Raw genomic sequence first — 14,486 nt, 5'->3', positions numbered from 1 at the left:
ACTTTGGTTTTAGATCATAAACTACATTCAGTTCAAATAATATTTTCAAGGTAACTGATTTAAAATAATTCAAACCACGCTGTGTCATTTAAAAATAAACTCCTTACCTCTTTTTCCTTTCTGTCTATGGCATCTCGTTCAGCCTGCAATTGTACTTCTAGGGACAATTCTGGTTTAGCTTCTACAGCTCCAAAGTGTTTTCGGTCCTCTACCTTTAAATATATAAAAATTTTCTCAAAATTTGATAAATTAAATCCTGATTATCCAGTTTTTTTTTGTTTTTTGGTCTGCTTTTTTTTTTTTTTTTTTTGAGAAGCAGCAATCCTGTTTCTCCAATTAGAAGTAGAAAGTCTACTTCTAATTAGTGAATAATAAAAAAGTTGGCCGGGCATGATGGCTCACGCCTGTAATCCCAGCACTTTGGGAGGCTGAGGTAGGTGGATCACCTGAGGTTGGGATTTTGAGACCAGTCTGATCAACATGCAGAAACCCCGTTTCTACTAAAAATACAAAAATCAGCTGGTTGTGGTGGCGCATGCCTATAATCCCAGCTACTTGGGAGGCTGAGGCAGAAGAATCGCTTGAACTCGGGAGGTGGAGGTTGTGGTAAGCTGAGGTCGCACCATTGCACTCCAGCCTGGGCAAGAAGAGCGAAACTATGTCTCCAAAAAACAAAACAAAACAAAACAAAACAAAACAAAACAAAACAAAACAACAACAACAACAAAAAACTCTTCCCTTCTCAGGACTAAGACATGCAAGCAACATTTGGAAATAAGAACAAACAGAAATGGTTACAATGTCAACAGAGATATAAACATAATATGTAATAATACCTACAAGAAGTTGACAATTTAAGAGTATTCTTCATTAAAACACTTATTAAGTTAGCCCAAATAAAATGCCACACCTTTTGAAAAGTATCTGCACTCACAAGAAGCGCCTGCTCCAGTTCTCTTACTCTGAACTCCAGTTTCTCTATTTCTTCATTCCTTTCTTGTATATCCCTTTGAAGCTGCTCTTTAGAGAGCAAAAGCTCACTGCATTTGTCTGTTTTTTCTTTCAGATGATTTGCTAACTGTTCAACCTGAAATATAAGAGGCAAAAAATTTAATTTAAAAAAAATTTCAGCAAGCTAGTTAGTATAGGTTGAGTTATCCCTCATTTTGGATATCTACAATCCAAAATGCTCCAAAATCTGAAACGTTTTTGTTTGTCTGTTTAAGAAATGGAGTCTCATTATGTTACCCAGGCTGGAATGCAGTGGCTATTTACAGGCACGATCGTCATGCACTACAGCCTCAAACTCCTGGGCTCAAGCAATTCTCCTGCATCAGCCTCCTGAGTAGCTGGGACTACAGATGCACACCAACAAGCCCAGGTCAAAATCTGAAACTTTTTAAGCACTGACATCATGCTCAAAGGAAATGCTCATTGGAGCATTTCACATTTCAAATTAGGATGCTGAATAGGTAAGTATAATGCAAATATTACAAAATTCAAAATATCTGAAATCTGAAACACTTCTCTCAAGCATTTTAAAGAATACTCAATGCATATAAAACATATCTTCATTTCAAAAATTTTTTTCTAAAAAGTATTTTTAAATGTTATGCTAATTTAACTTTGTATAAAGATAGCAACTGTTGTCTCCAACAAAGGTGACATTTTACAAGTTGAAAAAATTAAGCAACACTAGTAGACCACAAGTAATATTGCTTTCACGTAATCCTTTAAAAAATCTTTCTCTTAAGACTAAGACTTTCTCCACCTAGGAAGAGGGGAAAAAATGGATTTTTCATAAGGCTGAATTATCTAATGGCACAACCACACTAAATCCTAATGAAGATGACAAATTTGCAGGTACTGATTTACTCTTGTATGAGATAAAATGACCTAAATAAATCTTTTATGGACTATATTTTGAAAACAGTCATTGGGAAAGCTTTTTCAATCTATACATTCCATCAGCCCAGGAAAGAGCTAAGGATGAAGGGGTGTGAGAGGGATCTGTGCACCTTGAAGGTTTCCCTAAATGTCTCTAGTCTTGGTTTCTCCTTTAACCAAAATAATGATGCATGCCAAGACCTATTCCCTAAGAATGATATGGAGATCCCTTCAAGTGAATGGTTCTGTGACAGGAAGGATTAGTTGTACTGTATGGAAAGTGAGGAAGGAAAGCTTACTTTAAAAAAAGCGACATGTGATGGTAAGAAATAAAGTAATTCTACCTTTTCTTTTCAGTGAAATATTCTGAGGAAATTATCTAAAAAATGACAGTTATTTCTCAGAACATTAAAAGAATGCAAGCTTAACTATAATTTCAGGTTCAAGGATGATAGCAATAAAGTCACTGATATGTGCAGTCAGTTTTAAAGGGAAAAAGAAAAAAAAGGAAAAAAAAAGCTGCTGAGGAGAAACTTTAATAATAATAAGTTGACTAAGATTTGGAGTAAGGTTAAGAAAAAAGGCAACAATGTAGGTACAATAAAATGGTGCAACAGTAGAAAAAAAAAATCAAACATGCACATCTTTGTTAGTTTCTTAAAGTTTCATGAGCAAAGCAGGCCAACCTTTTCAAATAAAAGAAAACTACATAATAGGAGATGACAGCCTAGGTTCTAGAGCTTAAATATTCTTTGAAGTACAACAAACGACTACTTTTTAAAAGCCAAAAATATGTTTGTCAGAAATGGGGCAATAACTAGAAACTGTGGATAACTTTTTTCTTTTTTTTTTTTTTTTTTTTTTGAGACGGAGTCTTGCTCTGTCCCCAAGGCTGGAGTGCAGTGGCGTGATCTCAGCTCACTGCAAGCTCTGCCTCCTGAATTCATGCCATTCTCCTGTCTCAGCCTCCCGAGTAGCTAGGACTACAGGTGCCCGCCACCACGCCTGGCTAATTTTTTTTTTTTGTATTTTTAGTAGAGATGGGGTTTCACTGTGTTAGCCAGGATGGTCACGATCTCCTGACCTCGTGATCTGCCCACCTCGGCCTCCCAAAGTGCTGGGATTACAGGCTTGAGCCATCACGCCCAGCCCTGGAGACTGATAACTTTTGTACTACTCTAGTATACAACATTTTATTATAAGGAGTTTATTGGCACTCTGTACTTCTTCGGCTTTCTTTTAAGAGAAATGAAATCCACTGAACTGTTTAGAAATTACATTCGAAATAAAAATTGTTTCAGAAATAATACTAGTTAAAGTGTTCACTATGTGCCAGGTCAACACTCCTATGATGTGGGTGCTATTACAATCTCTATTTTAGAAATGAATTAACAGAGATTTGAGAGGTTAACTGACTTAGTTATTGTCATAACCTAGTAAATGGCAGAGCCATGATACAAACTGGGATTGCCTTACCCTAAGCACAATGTCTTTATCACCATGACAAGCCATCTTTAGGTATTCATACAGTGAATCCTCTCTCATTTATGTAGCATTCATTTGGTAAATGTGGAGTTTTGACTATGTTTCTATGAGGAAAATGGGCAGTTGGGGTGAAAAAGGAGAAGCAGGGAGACTGGTTAAGAGGCTACCACAGTGATCCAGGCAAACAAGTGACAAGTGGGATTTAGGAAGATGAATAAAAGTGCAAATAACAGAAAGATGTAGTGCAGTCTGACCCATCAGTGGGTTGGAATCAGGGGTTGAGAGAAAGGAGAATCAAGGCTGATTCTAGTTCTCAGCAATGGGGCAGGTTAGAAGGTACAGAATTTACTGAGATGAAGAAGAAAAATGTTTTATGCTTGTCTTTCTCTGGTAGTGGCTAATCAGGAATCAAGACCTTTCTTTTGGACATGTTAATTTTGAGACATCTAAGCAGAGACAGAGTAGGCACTGGATATCCAATGCTGGAACTTAACAGAAATGTCACAGATAGAAATACAAATGTGGAGGCATTTATATATGACTGCCTGGGAAGAGGCTATAAATAGGAAATAAAAAGGGGCCCAAGAGTAAGTTTTGGGGCACTCCATCATTTATGCTGGGTAGGAAAAGGAGAAACAAAGACTAGAGGAGAGAGACCAGTGGAGTAGCTGTGTCACAGAAACAAGAGAAGGAAGTATTTCTGGGAGAAGGCTGCAATAAATGCCTCTGAATGGTTGAGGAGGATGGAGACAGAGTTGGATATTAGCCATAGCCATGAGGCTCTGGGTCACCTTCACAAGAACAATTTAAATGGAGTAGAAGGTATAACCCTACTGAGAAACAAGGGCTGGATACTTCACTGGAGTGGACTAGTAAGAGAAAAGGAAATGGGAAAGTAAACAGTGAACACAGATAACTCTCTTGATCACTTTTGTTAGGAATGGGAATAAAGAAATAAACAGAGTTTATTTAATTGAGAAATACTAGAAGACATATGCAGATGGAAATGATTCCAAATTTCAATACCAACAATTTTCAGGGTTAATTACCTTCTCATGCTTAAGTAATATTAAGTTTTCTGATTTTGAAGATTTACATACAAAGGAAAGAATCCACTTTTAAGTTTTTAATGATATGCATCTTATTTTACACTTGATACAAATTACTGTAAGTTGGGCAATATCAGTGAAGTTCTTACCTCTCTAGTTTGATGTTCACTGATAGGCTGGAATCGAGGAACAACCTTAAGTTGCTGTTCTAGTTTCTGTATTTCCTGTTGGAATACATCTCTCTCATGTTCTCTGTCAATGGCTTGCTCCTAAAGTTTAATGACAATAATGATAGTAGCTGAAGAAACAGTATTTAGAGAAGCTATTATTTCTTACTTCTCCTTTAGAGATATGTTAGTTTTGTTTGAAGACAAAGGACTGATGATCATGGAACATCCCAAATCACAAAAGTTTTAAAAGATAACATTTTATTTTTTATATGCCATATAGCCTATTTGGCCTCCTCAACAAAAATTCAAGTATTAATATTAAAATATTATTTCAAGTACATTTCTTTTTTTATTCAAGTAATATTAAATACAGGATGAAAAAATATTCACCTTAAAATGAATTTACTTTTCTGGAACAAAGGAGGAATTCCATGTTAGTTTAGCCATTAAACAAAATCCATAAAACAAATTGTTTGGTAAATCAGTTTCTTGAATCCTAATCTAGGTTTTATGTCTAAAGTTATAAAATGAGTAAGAATCTGATTCTCTGATCTATGAAGAGAGTATCAGGCTTAAGTGAAATCTCAAAGGAAAAAAAAATGTGAAATTAGAGATTTAACATCTTTTTGGAAGAGAGTAATGGCAGCATGACCACTGTTCCGGGCCCATTTCCAATGGCCACACTGTTCTATGTGTATCTTTTACAGGTGAAGCAGTGGTGGCCCATTATCTCTTTGCCTATCTTAGTCTGTGGTTAAATAAAAAACTAGAATAAGCTCCTGATCTGAATTTGGAAAACTAGTGGGGCTTATTCATAATTTTTATCATGTATAATTCAATACATAATAAAATGTACTGATTTTAATTCTGAGTGCTGCACAATAAAAATTATTGGAATCTTAAATTGGAATAGTACTTTTTGATCGATTAGTAGATTCGACACCTAATAAAACACTGAAAAACTAACTCAACAGTCTTTTCATAATTTAAAATTCATAGCCTAGTATACTAGCAAAGAACATTCCACTGAGAAAAATCAGTATTCAACTTGAGAATACTTACATCTAAAAATTTTCTCATTTTTTCTAACTGCTTTTCCAATGCTTGGTTTTGCTGTCTTAAATCCATTAGTTCAGTATTTTTTTCTTGTTCCAGCTCTATAAACCTACTGACTTGTTCTTCCACATCTATTTCTAGAGCTTTCACTTGTTTTTGAAGGTCATCACGTACTTTTTCAGCTTGACATTGTACTTCTAGTTTTTCCTTCATTAATTTTTCTGTCTCCTGTAGTAATTCTGTTTATTAATACAAAATATACTGAATTAAATCACAATTAATGATCTTATGATAATGAAATCCCTGATAACTATGTCCAAATTTTACGTTCATGAAAGGCTGAGAATTATTTTAAATACACATGAAAGTAAATATTCTCTTATGAAAGTATCAAAATTATATTAAAATATTTCTATATAAGTAAACAAGCAATTATTAATAAAATTATACAGAATTATTAACAAAAAATATGTCCTGTCACTGAAAATAATATTTTTGTGAAAACAACATAGCAAATGACCAAAAAAAAAAAATCTATTTTTACTACTGGGCAAAGAACAAAGTCCAATTAAATTCAAGCACAGAAAAAAACTCACCGTTTTCTTCACCTCAGGCAAAAAGCAATTCATTCCAAACCCATAAAGTCAATTTTATTTGCATACACAATAAACATGAAGATCAAACACTGTAAATCTTTAACCAAGGCAAGTCTAAGAGTTACAGAAATATAAATACAGCTATAATTGAAATTTCCTGTTAGTCTTACTCCTTATTAGATCCATATTCCTGAGTTGCTTTTGCATGGTCACATGTATGTGAATCAAGGGAAAACTGACATGTATGAGAGGTAGTGTGGTGTAGTGCTTAAGAACAGACCGTAGGCCCAACCTAGCTCAGCCACTTATCTCCCATGTGACAGTTATGATGATGTCCTTTAGTTTCCTTATATGTAAACTGAGAATAATATTATTACTGATCTCTTAGAGTTATTTTGGCATTAAATGAGTTAATACATGTAAAGAAGAGTGTCTGAGGTATGGTAAGCACTATGTGTTAGCTATTAATATTATTAATATAACAAAGTGTATATAGTAAAAATAAAACAATCTTCTAATGAAGAAAATGGAAAGAACATATCCCTAGGGTCTTTAACTAGTATGCCAACATTGTACTCAGGACTAGGAATCTCTAGAAAACAGCTTTCCTTTTAAAACAACATTAGATGTTAACATAAAAATAAATCAACCAGAGAGCCTCTTATTAAATTTCACTGATCCTTTTGCTACCATCATCTTACATACTTCCTGATTTAGAAGGAGCATTTTAAAAACTCATAGATTGAAAGAGTTTAATACATTTGTTAAATGGTTTCTTAAAAAACTCAAAATGGCTGGGTATGGTGGCTTATGCCTGTAATCCCAGCACTTTGGGAGGCAGAGGTGGGCGGATCACCTGAGGCCAGGAGATTGAGACCAGCCTGGCCAACATGGTGAAACCCCATCTCTACTAAAAGTACAAAAAATTAGCCAGGCATGGTGGCTCCCGCCTGTAGTCTCAGTTACTCAGGAGGCTGAGGTGGAAGAATCGCTTGAACCCAGGAGGCGGAGGTTGCAGTGAGCCGAGATCAGACCACTGCACTCTAGCCTGGGTGATTGAGCAAGACTCCATCTCAAAAAACAAACACAGACAAACAAACAAACAAAAATCAAAATGGTTTTAAGCTCTATGCAAAAATAGACATCATAAGATGATGGTCAGTATGAATCTCAGATGTTAATTTCAAATGAAAATTTGTACTTTTATTGTAAGAAAAGTTTATTTGTTGTTGTTAAAGAGAAAAACTGTAAGTATGGAACAACAGCAACACTGCAAAACTAGAGATGTTAGTTGGCTGAAAATCCAGGTCACCCACATTTTGGAGTTTAAAGTCTACCACCCAAACATTGGCCATGCAATGGTATACACACACCTGCTCCTGGTGCTGCATCGACTGCAGCATCTACTAGTCCTAGGAAAATAGAGAAAAAAAAAAAAAAAGACACAACAAAAGTATAATTTATATGTCTTCTACTTCCTAAAATGGGATAATGCACATGCACACACACGTATCAAAAACAAGAGTTGAAGACACTGATTATCACTGGTAACATTTTGAGAAGTTCCAGTATTTCTTGAATATTTTGCATATATGACATATACTTTCCATATTAAAAATCCCAAACTAAACCTGTTTAATTAATTTGAGCAGCTGGAAGAAACTTCACTATATTACAAAAATGTATGCTGTATTTCTAAACCGATAAAATGAAATCAGTGAAACGGCACATTTAAAAATCCAACTGCACGTGTAATATAAAAGTGAGAGGACATGGTAAACAGGATTAAAGTTCCATCATTACCAAGACTGACATTTACTGCTAAACAAACTTTCACTTCAAGATATTACTTAATATCTTATTTAAGGAAAAATGAAAGGTTACTTAAACATTTAAGTATTATTTGAATTCCTACTACATTAAACTAGATGTCAGCCTACCAGCCACTGACCTTTTTAAATCTACTCTGCTTGCAAGTCAAAAAACCCCTCCACCTGCTCATTACTAGTGCCAGATCAGTGCTTTTAGATATTTAATCCAAGTATACATTTTTGCTGCCTCTCTGCTATTAGAACTAAACCTTACACAATTTTTAAAATATCCTGCCTCATTATTTGCAGCTTTCTCTTGAAGCAGAAGTTTGAGGATAAATGAAGAACTATCTTTTCCTGTTAACATCTGCCTAAGGAAAAAGAAAAAAAAAACCTGATTCCACATGATTGGCTAATAAGACATTTATCTCTAAGGTAGATTTTCTTATAATTTTTTAAATCTCTCTATAAAATATATGAATAATGGCACTGAAAGAGGAAAAAAGCCACCTTAAGCCTTTGAAGAATACAAATAAAATCAGAGGACTGTTTCATACAAATTCTGAAAATACTTACGTTGTTCAACTGGGCCTGCCTCTGCTTTCATAGCTTCCTTTTGTCTGGACAGTAATTCTCTTTCTTCTTGGATCTGCTGTTGCTCTGCCTCCAATTCTTGCAACCTGTTACTTGCACATAACAACTCCTGCTCAAGACGATCTATTATATCAGTTTTTTCCTGAATTTGCCTTTCAAAAAGAGTTTTTTCATCTGCATAGCCATCAATGACGCCTATAATACAAAATTAACAGAAAATAGAACTATTATTCATTTCAAATTCAACCACTAGGTTTTAATATAAACAACAAAAGGTATACTGTTAGCAAAACTTTCCATCATTCCAACCTATTAAAAGTCTTGAATGAATTTGCTGCTCATCACAGCAACTATCAACCTTTAATAGGGTATGGTCAATGCAGACATTTCCTTGTTTACCATTGTGCATAAACATGAAATTTCTCTGAATTTTCTAATACTTTGCTATACCAAAGTACCACATTATGTAGGTGTAAGTCACTTTATTAAACAGATATAAACAGTAAGTTTCTGAAAAGCTTAATACAAATTAGATGCTTGTGAACTGAATCACATTTTGAAAATTAGAAGGTTGGTATTTTAAGTAATTTTAGAAGGCCAACACCCATAACAGCAGAGGAGAATTAAAAAGAGCATAGGGCTTTAGAGATTCAAAGCCTGGAATCACTATGTAATGGTATTTGTGCCCTTTAACAATTTAATAACATCTTTTCGCTTCAGTTTGCTCATCTTTAAATTACAAGGGTTGTCTTAAGATGGTGTGATTACAGTAACGAGTCACCACTATCCTTTTTGGTATTTTCTGAAATTATTATTTTCTGTAACTCTATAAATTCTTTTTATAATTTTATATATATATATATATATATATATATATATATATAGTTTTAAAAATTGCTTGGAGGAACTCTGAAGATAAACCACAAGTACTTTTTAATGGTCATTCTAAATTGGATTGACGGCTTCCAAACCTGGCTGTGCATCAAAAATCTCTATTTTAAGACTGAAATTTCTCTACCCTTAGTTGTCAATGGCAAATTGCTCACCCTCAGCCTTACTGAGCTCCACAGCTAGCTGTTCTCTGGCCCTGGACTCCTCATGAAGGCGCTCTCGAAGTTCCTCTTGGCACTTAAGGGACTCTGTTGCTTCTTGTTTCTGTCTAAATGACTCACGCATCAACTCTGTCTGTGTCACTTTCGCATGTTCAAGCTAAACAAAGAGGGAAACAATACATAAAAGAAAATAAAGTGTGGAAATACTAGTTTCATTCCCTATTAAAGCTGGAAAAAAGGAGGATTTTAAAATAAAGATATACTACTGAATTGTAGTCATTTAGATATTGCCAGTGTATGCTAAGATTAGCAGGTAGGAGAAATCAGAGGAGACATGTATATTGGCTGTGCACGACTTTCTGTAAAGTGATGTATTCTAGCTTTACTGAACAAAAGAATATGCTTCTTTTGGATACAAACCACTTTAAATCAATGGCTGTGTACTTTATCATATAAAAGAAGATATAAAGTTAATGAAGCACAGGCGTTTATTGTATTTGCCAAAGAATTTTATGTAACTATACAGTCTATGATAAACTTTCTTCTACATTTAGTATTTACGGATTGTGACTCCTACAGTATCTGCTGTATACTGTGGGGGACCAATAATACATGATTAATACAATGGCATCAATTAACAAAATGATAGTAGCACAACAAAATGAAATTATATTTATAATCCATGTACTTAACTAAAAGCTTTATATTTCTGTCCATTTGTGAAACACCTAAAGCTCCTATGAATATTCAGCTTATTTTCAAAACCGTAGAATACAGAGACATTAACCATAAACACAGATTCCTTAAAATATTACCAATAGCACATACTGACTACATTCTTAAACAATTTTTTAAGATGATAGAAGGCTTAAAGCCAAAGCTCTCTTGATCACTGCTACTAAATGAGCTGTGTGAAATTGCAGAAAAGTACTGTCTCTGCCTTAGTTTTCTGAGCTTTTGACTATCAGCACCTGCTTATCTGTTATTACTGAAACAATTACATGGGAAAAAATTGAACTCAAATGTTTCTAGTATTTAGTCCAAAAATTGTAAGAAGAAATCATCACATATATTAATAACAGGCTCACAGTAAAGTCATAAGAATTTGTAAATTTACATATAAAGTACTTTGTGCATTAAAAAGATATTAGTGCATTTTAAGCTTAAAATATGATCAAATGTAGTGGTTTCTAATTTATAGTCACATATTGAAAATGTATTACAAAATCATGATAATACTAAAGGATACTTTATTGTTAAAGACTTCCACTTTTCACATCTGAGAGGTATTTGTCATAGCAAATGGATTTTAGAGTAACTACAGCTTTTGATGGCTACTCTAAATCAATTTCCAAAATATCCAGTATGCAATTATTCTTGTTTTAATAGGATATTTCAAATATCACTTATAACTTATTTGCAATTAATATGAATACACGTATAAGACTCATAATAGAAAATTAATCATACATTTTAAATTATAAATTATTTCCTAAAATACCCATGATAATATGTTGTTATCTCAAAAGGAATATTTTTACTTTTAACTGGAAAGAGTTTTTCCTTTAAAGTCTGGATAACTAATATCATTAATTTTTATTACAAAGAAACATAACAATAAAGTATGAACTAATTTATATACAACTACATGGGAATTTACAGTCACAATCCATATTTTAAAAACATATCAATTGTTTTTACACGTTTGTCATTTTTTTCTGTTCATTACATAATGACTATCTAGTAAATACATGTAACTAAAAAGGATATGCTTTTTTTTGTCTTTTTTAAATTTACTATAAGGATATAACAAAGAATTTACAACAAAATAAATGCTTGCTTTAGGTAAGTAAATTAAATAAGCCTTTGCTTCTATGTTCTACTTCCTGACAAGATTTAATCAGCCTTATAATCCATTTAAATATTTATCATAAAACCACAAGAGAAAAACTTGTTTTCTAAAATAAAATGAAAAAGTTGGAACAATCAAATACAGTAAATCTAGCAAAAAAAAATGTCATTTATTATAGCAGATGAGATCCACACTTCATCGGGAGATGAGACACCCTTCAAATAAATGTTCATTAAATACTTAATATTTAAAGAATCCTCTTCCATTCAGTTAGAGTATGTTTATTCCTAATATCTATAACAATATGAAGAATGTAAGATTTCATATTCAATATTTCCAAAGTATTTAAGAAACTTATTACATTAAAAGTACATGTAAAGTATCAGTTAATATTCTGTCACTTTAATATAAAAGTTGCAGAAGAGGTAACAAAACTATTCTGAAAACCATCTGGCTTGTTAAATATTAGCTAGTACAGGATAAAGCTATGAAAGTCATAAAAAGCGCTGAATAACTTTTAGTTATACTGAATAACCTGTAGTGAACCTGAAATACTAAATATTCAAGCCTCTTTATGCTAAACACTTATCCTTAACAATGTTTATAAAATATATTTCATATAAAAAGCAGAAAAGGGTCTTGTTCCACAAGATTACGAGGCATATTAAAAACAAAAAGTAAGTTTCTTAGGTTGTTAAGAATATTAAAATTAGAACCCAAGCTTCCTTTTTTCCTGGACTGGAACAGCCAATATAACATATGATTGTAAACATTTCCTAATTGCTCAATGACAATTCACTTAGCTGTCTTATAAGTATCATAATACCGAGTCTCTCAAATATAATAATTATTCCATTCTTATTCAGGATTGGCATGATAAACATACAAAAGCAAGAATCTTAAGGAAAAGCGGGATCTTTTTAAACAAACTGCCTGGCATTGGAGAAATGTAATATTATCTCATTCTGCTTTCTGTAATTGTAAACATAGCCAAGTTGGAACTCAGACCAAATTTAGCCCTTAAATACATCTAGAATGAATGAGTAGTAACGCATCAAACAAGGTTCTATCCCATTTAGCCTTAATATAGACACTCAAAATTTAATTTCTCATTATAGTGTTTAACTAAATGAATATTTTTTATACTTACTGAATAAGGAGGGGTAGGCAGTGAAATTTTAGAAATAAGCTTTAATATATGCCCGTTTCTTTTATGAATAAAATGGAAAATAGAAGTATTAACAATTACTGAGTTATTTTCATCCAAATGTTCACAAAGAGGAAAAGGATGTGGTAAAGGCACGCGAGATTCAACCTCATAAATGTCTTCATCTTGCTCTTCTAACCACGAGCCACTGACTTTGACAGTTGCCAAATAGGTGCTATAAGAATCCATCCCAGAAGATACAGCTGCCGAGATTCCTAATTTGCTTTATCAATTTTCTAATACATTAAAAAGTTCTTTTTAGTTTATCAAGATCTACCATAGCAGTATAAAAAGTTTCTTTTTTAGCACTATCAAATAAATGTTATAAAATTAATTCATACAACTGCACAATAAAAGGAAGGGGAAAGTCCAGGAAAAAAACTACAAATCTAAAAAAACTTAGGTCTCTATCAATCTTGATGCCCCCTCAAAAAAACCCAAACCAAAACAAAAACCAAAAAAAATCAAAAAACAAAAATAAAAGCAAGCAAACAAAAACACCTTTTAAACTAGCATAATTAAGTCCTTGAAGAGAAGAATAAAAATATAAACATCTAATTAGACGAGCAATAAAACTGCTTTTAATATCAGCGATGTCTGTAGTAATAAGTAAGCCTTCAAAGCAGAACCTGGCAGGGAAGGTCAAGTTTGAAATCTCCATAGCAGCAGTCTTGAGAAATGCAGTTGTAACATTATTTCTCTTGCTCTTGCTGCTTCACTCTATTCAAAAGGAAAAGCTCTTCTGAACTGAGCTATTCAAATAGCCTCTCATGCTGAGCCAAAGGATTCTAGTCAGTGTCCCCTGAGGAAAAGGTCAGAACAGAGGGTGTGGTTTAATGTCTTTACCTATAGGTACACTGACAGGTGGAATGTGAATTAATATGCCCACAAAAAAGCCTGCCAGACAGGATCCAAGTTCCACGTCAGGGCTTTGAAAGGGCATTTAGACAAGTTTATAATGTTTGTAAGATAAGCTGGTGTTTTTCCGTTCCATTAAAAAATTGCTTTAATTTAAAAATGTGAAATTAATTATGCTTGAGTCCACATTAGTAATAAGTTATTCAAGTATATAAAATAATCAAAGTTATTTCTGGAAAATTAAAACTTACTTTTGCTATTTCCTTAGAAATATTACTCATCTTTCAAGCAGCCACTAAAACTATAGACATTTCAGTTATAACCTATTTTCATATTGTTTACAGAGTACATGCTAAGGAAAAAATTCTTTTTAAAGCTACACTGTATGTAACAGTTGAAAACTATACCACTTAAGGTATCTTATGAACCCTGACTAAACTTTAAAAGCCCAAGTTATATAGAATAGCCTTCTGGGTAGCTCCAGAAACCTGGGCAATAGTGAATAAATAAGCCACTCAGAATTTTAGAAGATAAACAACTTACTTTTTAATATTAAAAGATTTTCAATAATGAAAGTTGTTTTAAAGAAAGGAAAAAACCCTCATTTTGGTATTATTCTTTCCAGTAACTAAATATCCTAAATCCACAAAGCCTTTATTTAAATGGAAAAACCCATGCTAAAGAAGGTAGGTAATACCAACACAAATCCATTCTACAGCTACTCACACTATAAAGTTGTTTAAACCAGTACTCAAACCATTTCACAGTAGGTAGACTAATAATTAGGGCAGAGAAAATGACATTTTCTATAGAAAGCCAGAATCTACAGGGAGATGGCTTGTAGCTGTGGAGGGGCAGTTGCCTCTTAC

At 33.2% G+C, this 14,486-nt stretch overlaps 1 protein-coding gene across 3 annotated transcripts in view; it reads right to left on the bottom strand.

Moving 5' to 3' along the window:
- Positions 1 to 14,486, bottom strand: part of AKAP9 (A-kinase anchoring protein 9) — a 169,812-nt gene that overhangs the window by 39,557 nt on the left and 115,769 nt on the right. The window contains exons 1-7 of one of the 3 annotated variants that reach the window (NM_001379277.1): positions 12,703 to 13,539; positions 9,695 to 9,857; positions 8,631 to 8,843; positions 5,654 to 5,886; positions 4,571 to 4,690; positions 911 to 1,087; positions 108 to 212 (exon numbers count right to left, since the gene is read on the bottom strand). In NM_001379277.1, coding sequence (NP_001366206.1) covers positions 108 to 212; positions 911 to 1,087; positions 4,571 to 4,690; positions 5,654 to 5,886; positions 8,631 to 8,843; positions 9,695 to 9,857; positions 12,703 to 12,948 — 1,257 coding nt within the window. In that variant the 5' untranslated portion in view covers positions 12,949 to 13,539. Of the gene's footprint in view, positions 1 to 107; positions 213 to 910; positions 1,088 to 4,570; positions 4,691 to 5,653; positions 5,887 to 8,630; positions 8,844 to 9,694; positions 9,858 to 12,702; positions 13,540 to 14,486 lie in introns of those variants that run through there. The other 2 variants (NM_005751.5, NM_147185.3) reach the window with 2 other exon arrangements.

Source organism: Homo sapiens, chromosome 7 (assembly GCF_000001405.40).
Source record: "Homo sapiens chromosome 7, GRCh38.p14 Primary Assembly".
NCBI classification, from domain to species: Eukaryota; Metazoa; Chordata; class Mammalia; order Primates; family Hominidae; genus Homo; species Homo sapiens.
This window is presented reverse-complemented; position numbering and strand designations above follow the sequence as displayed.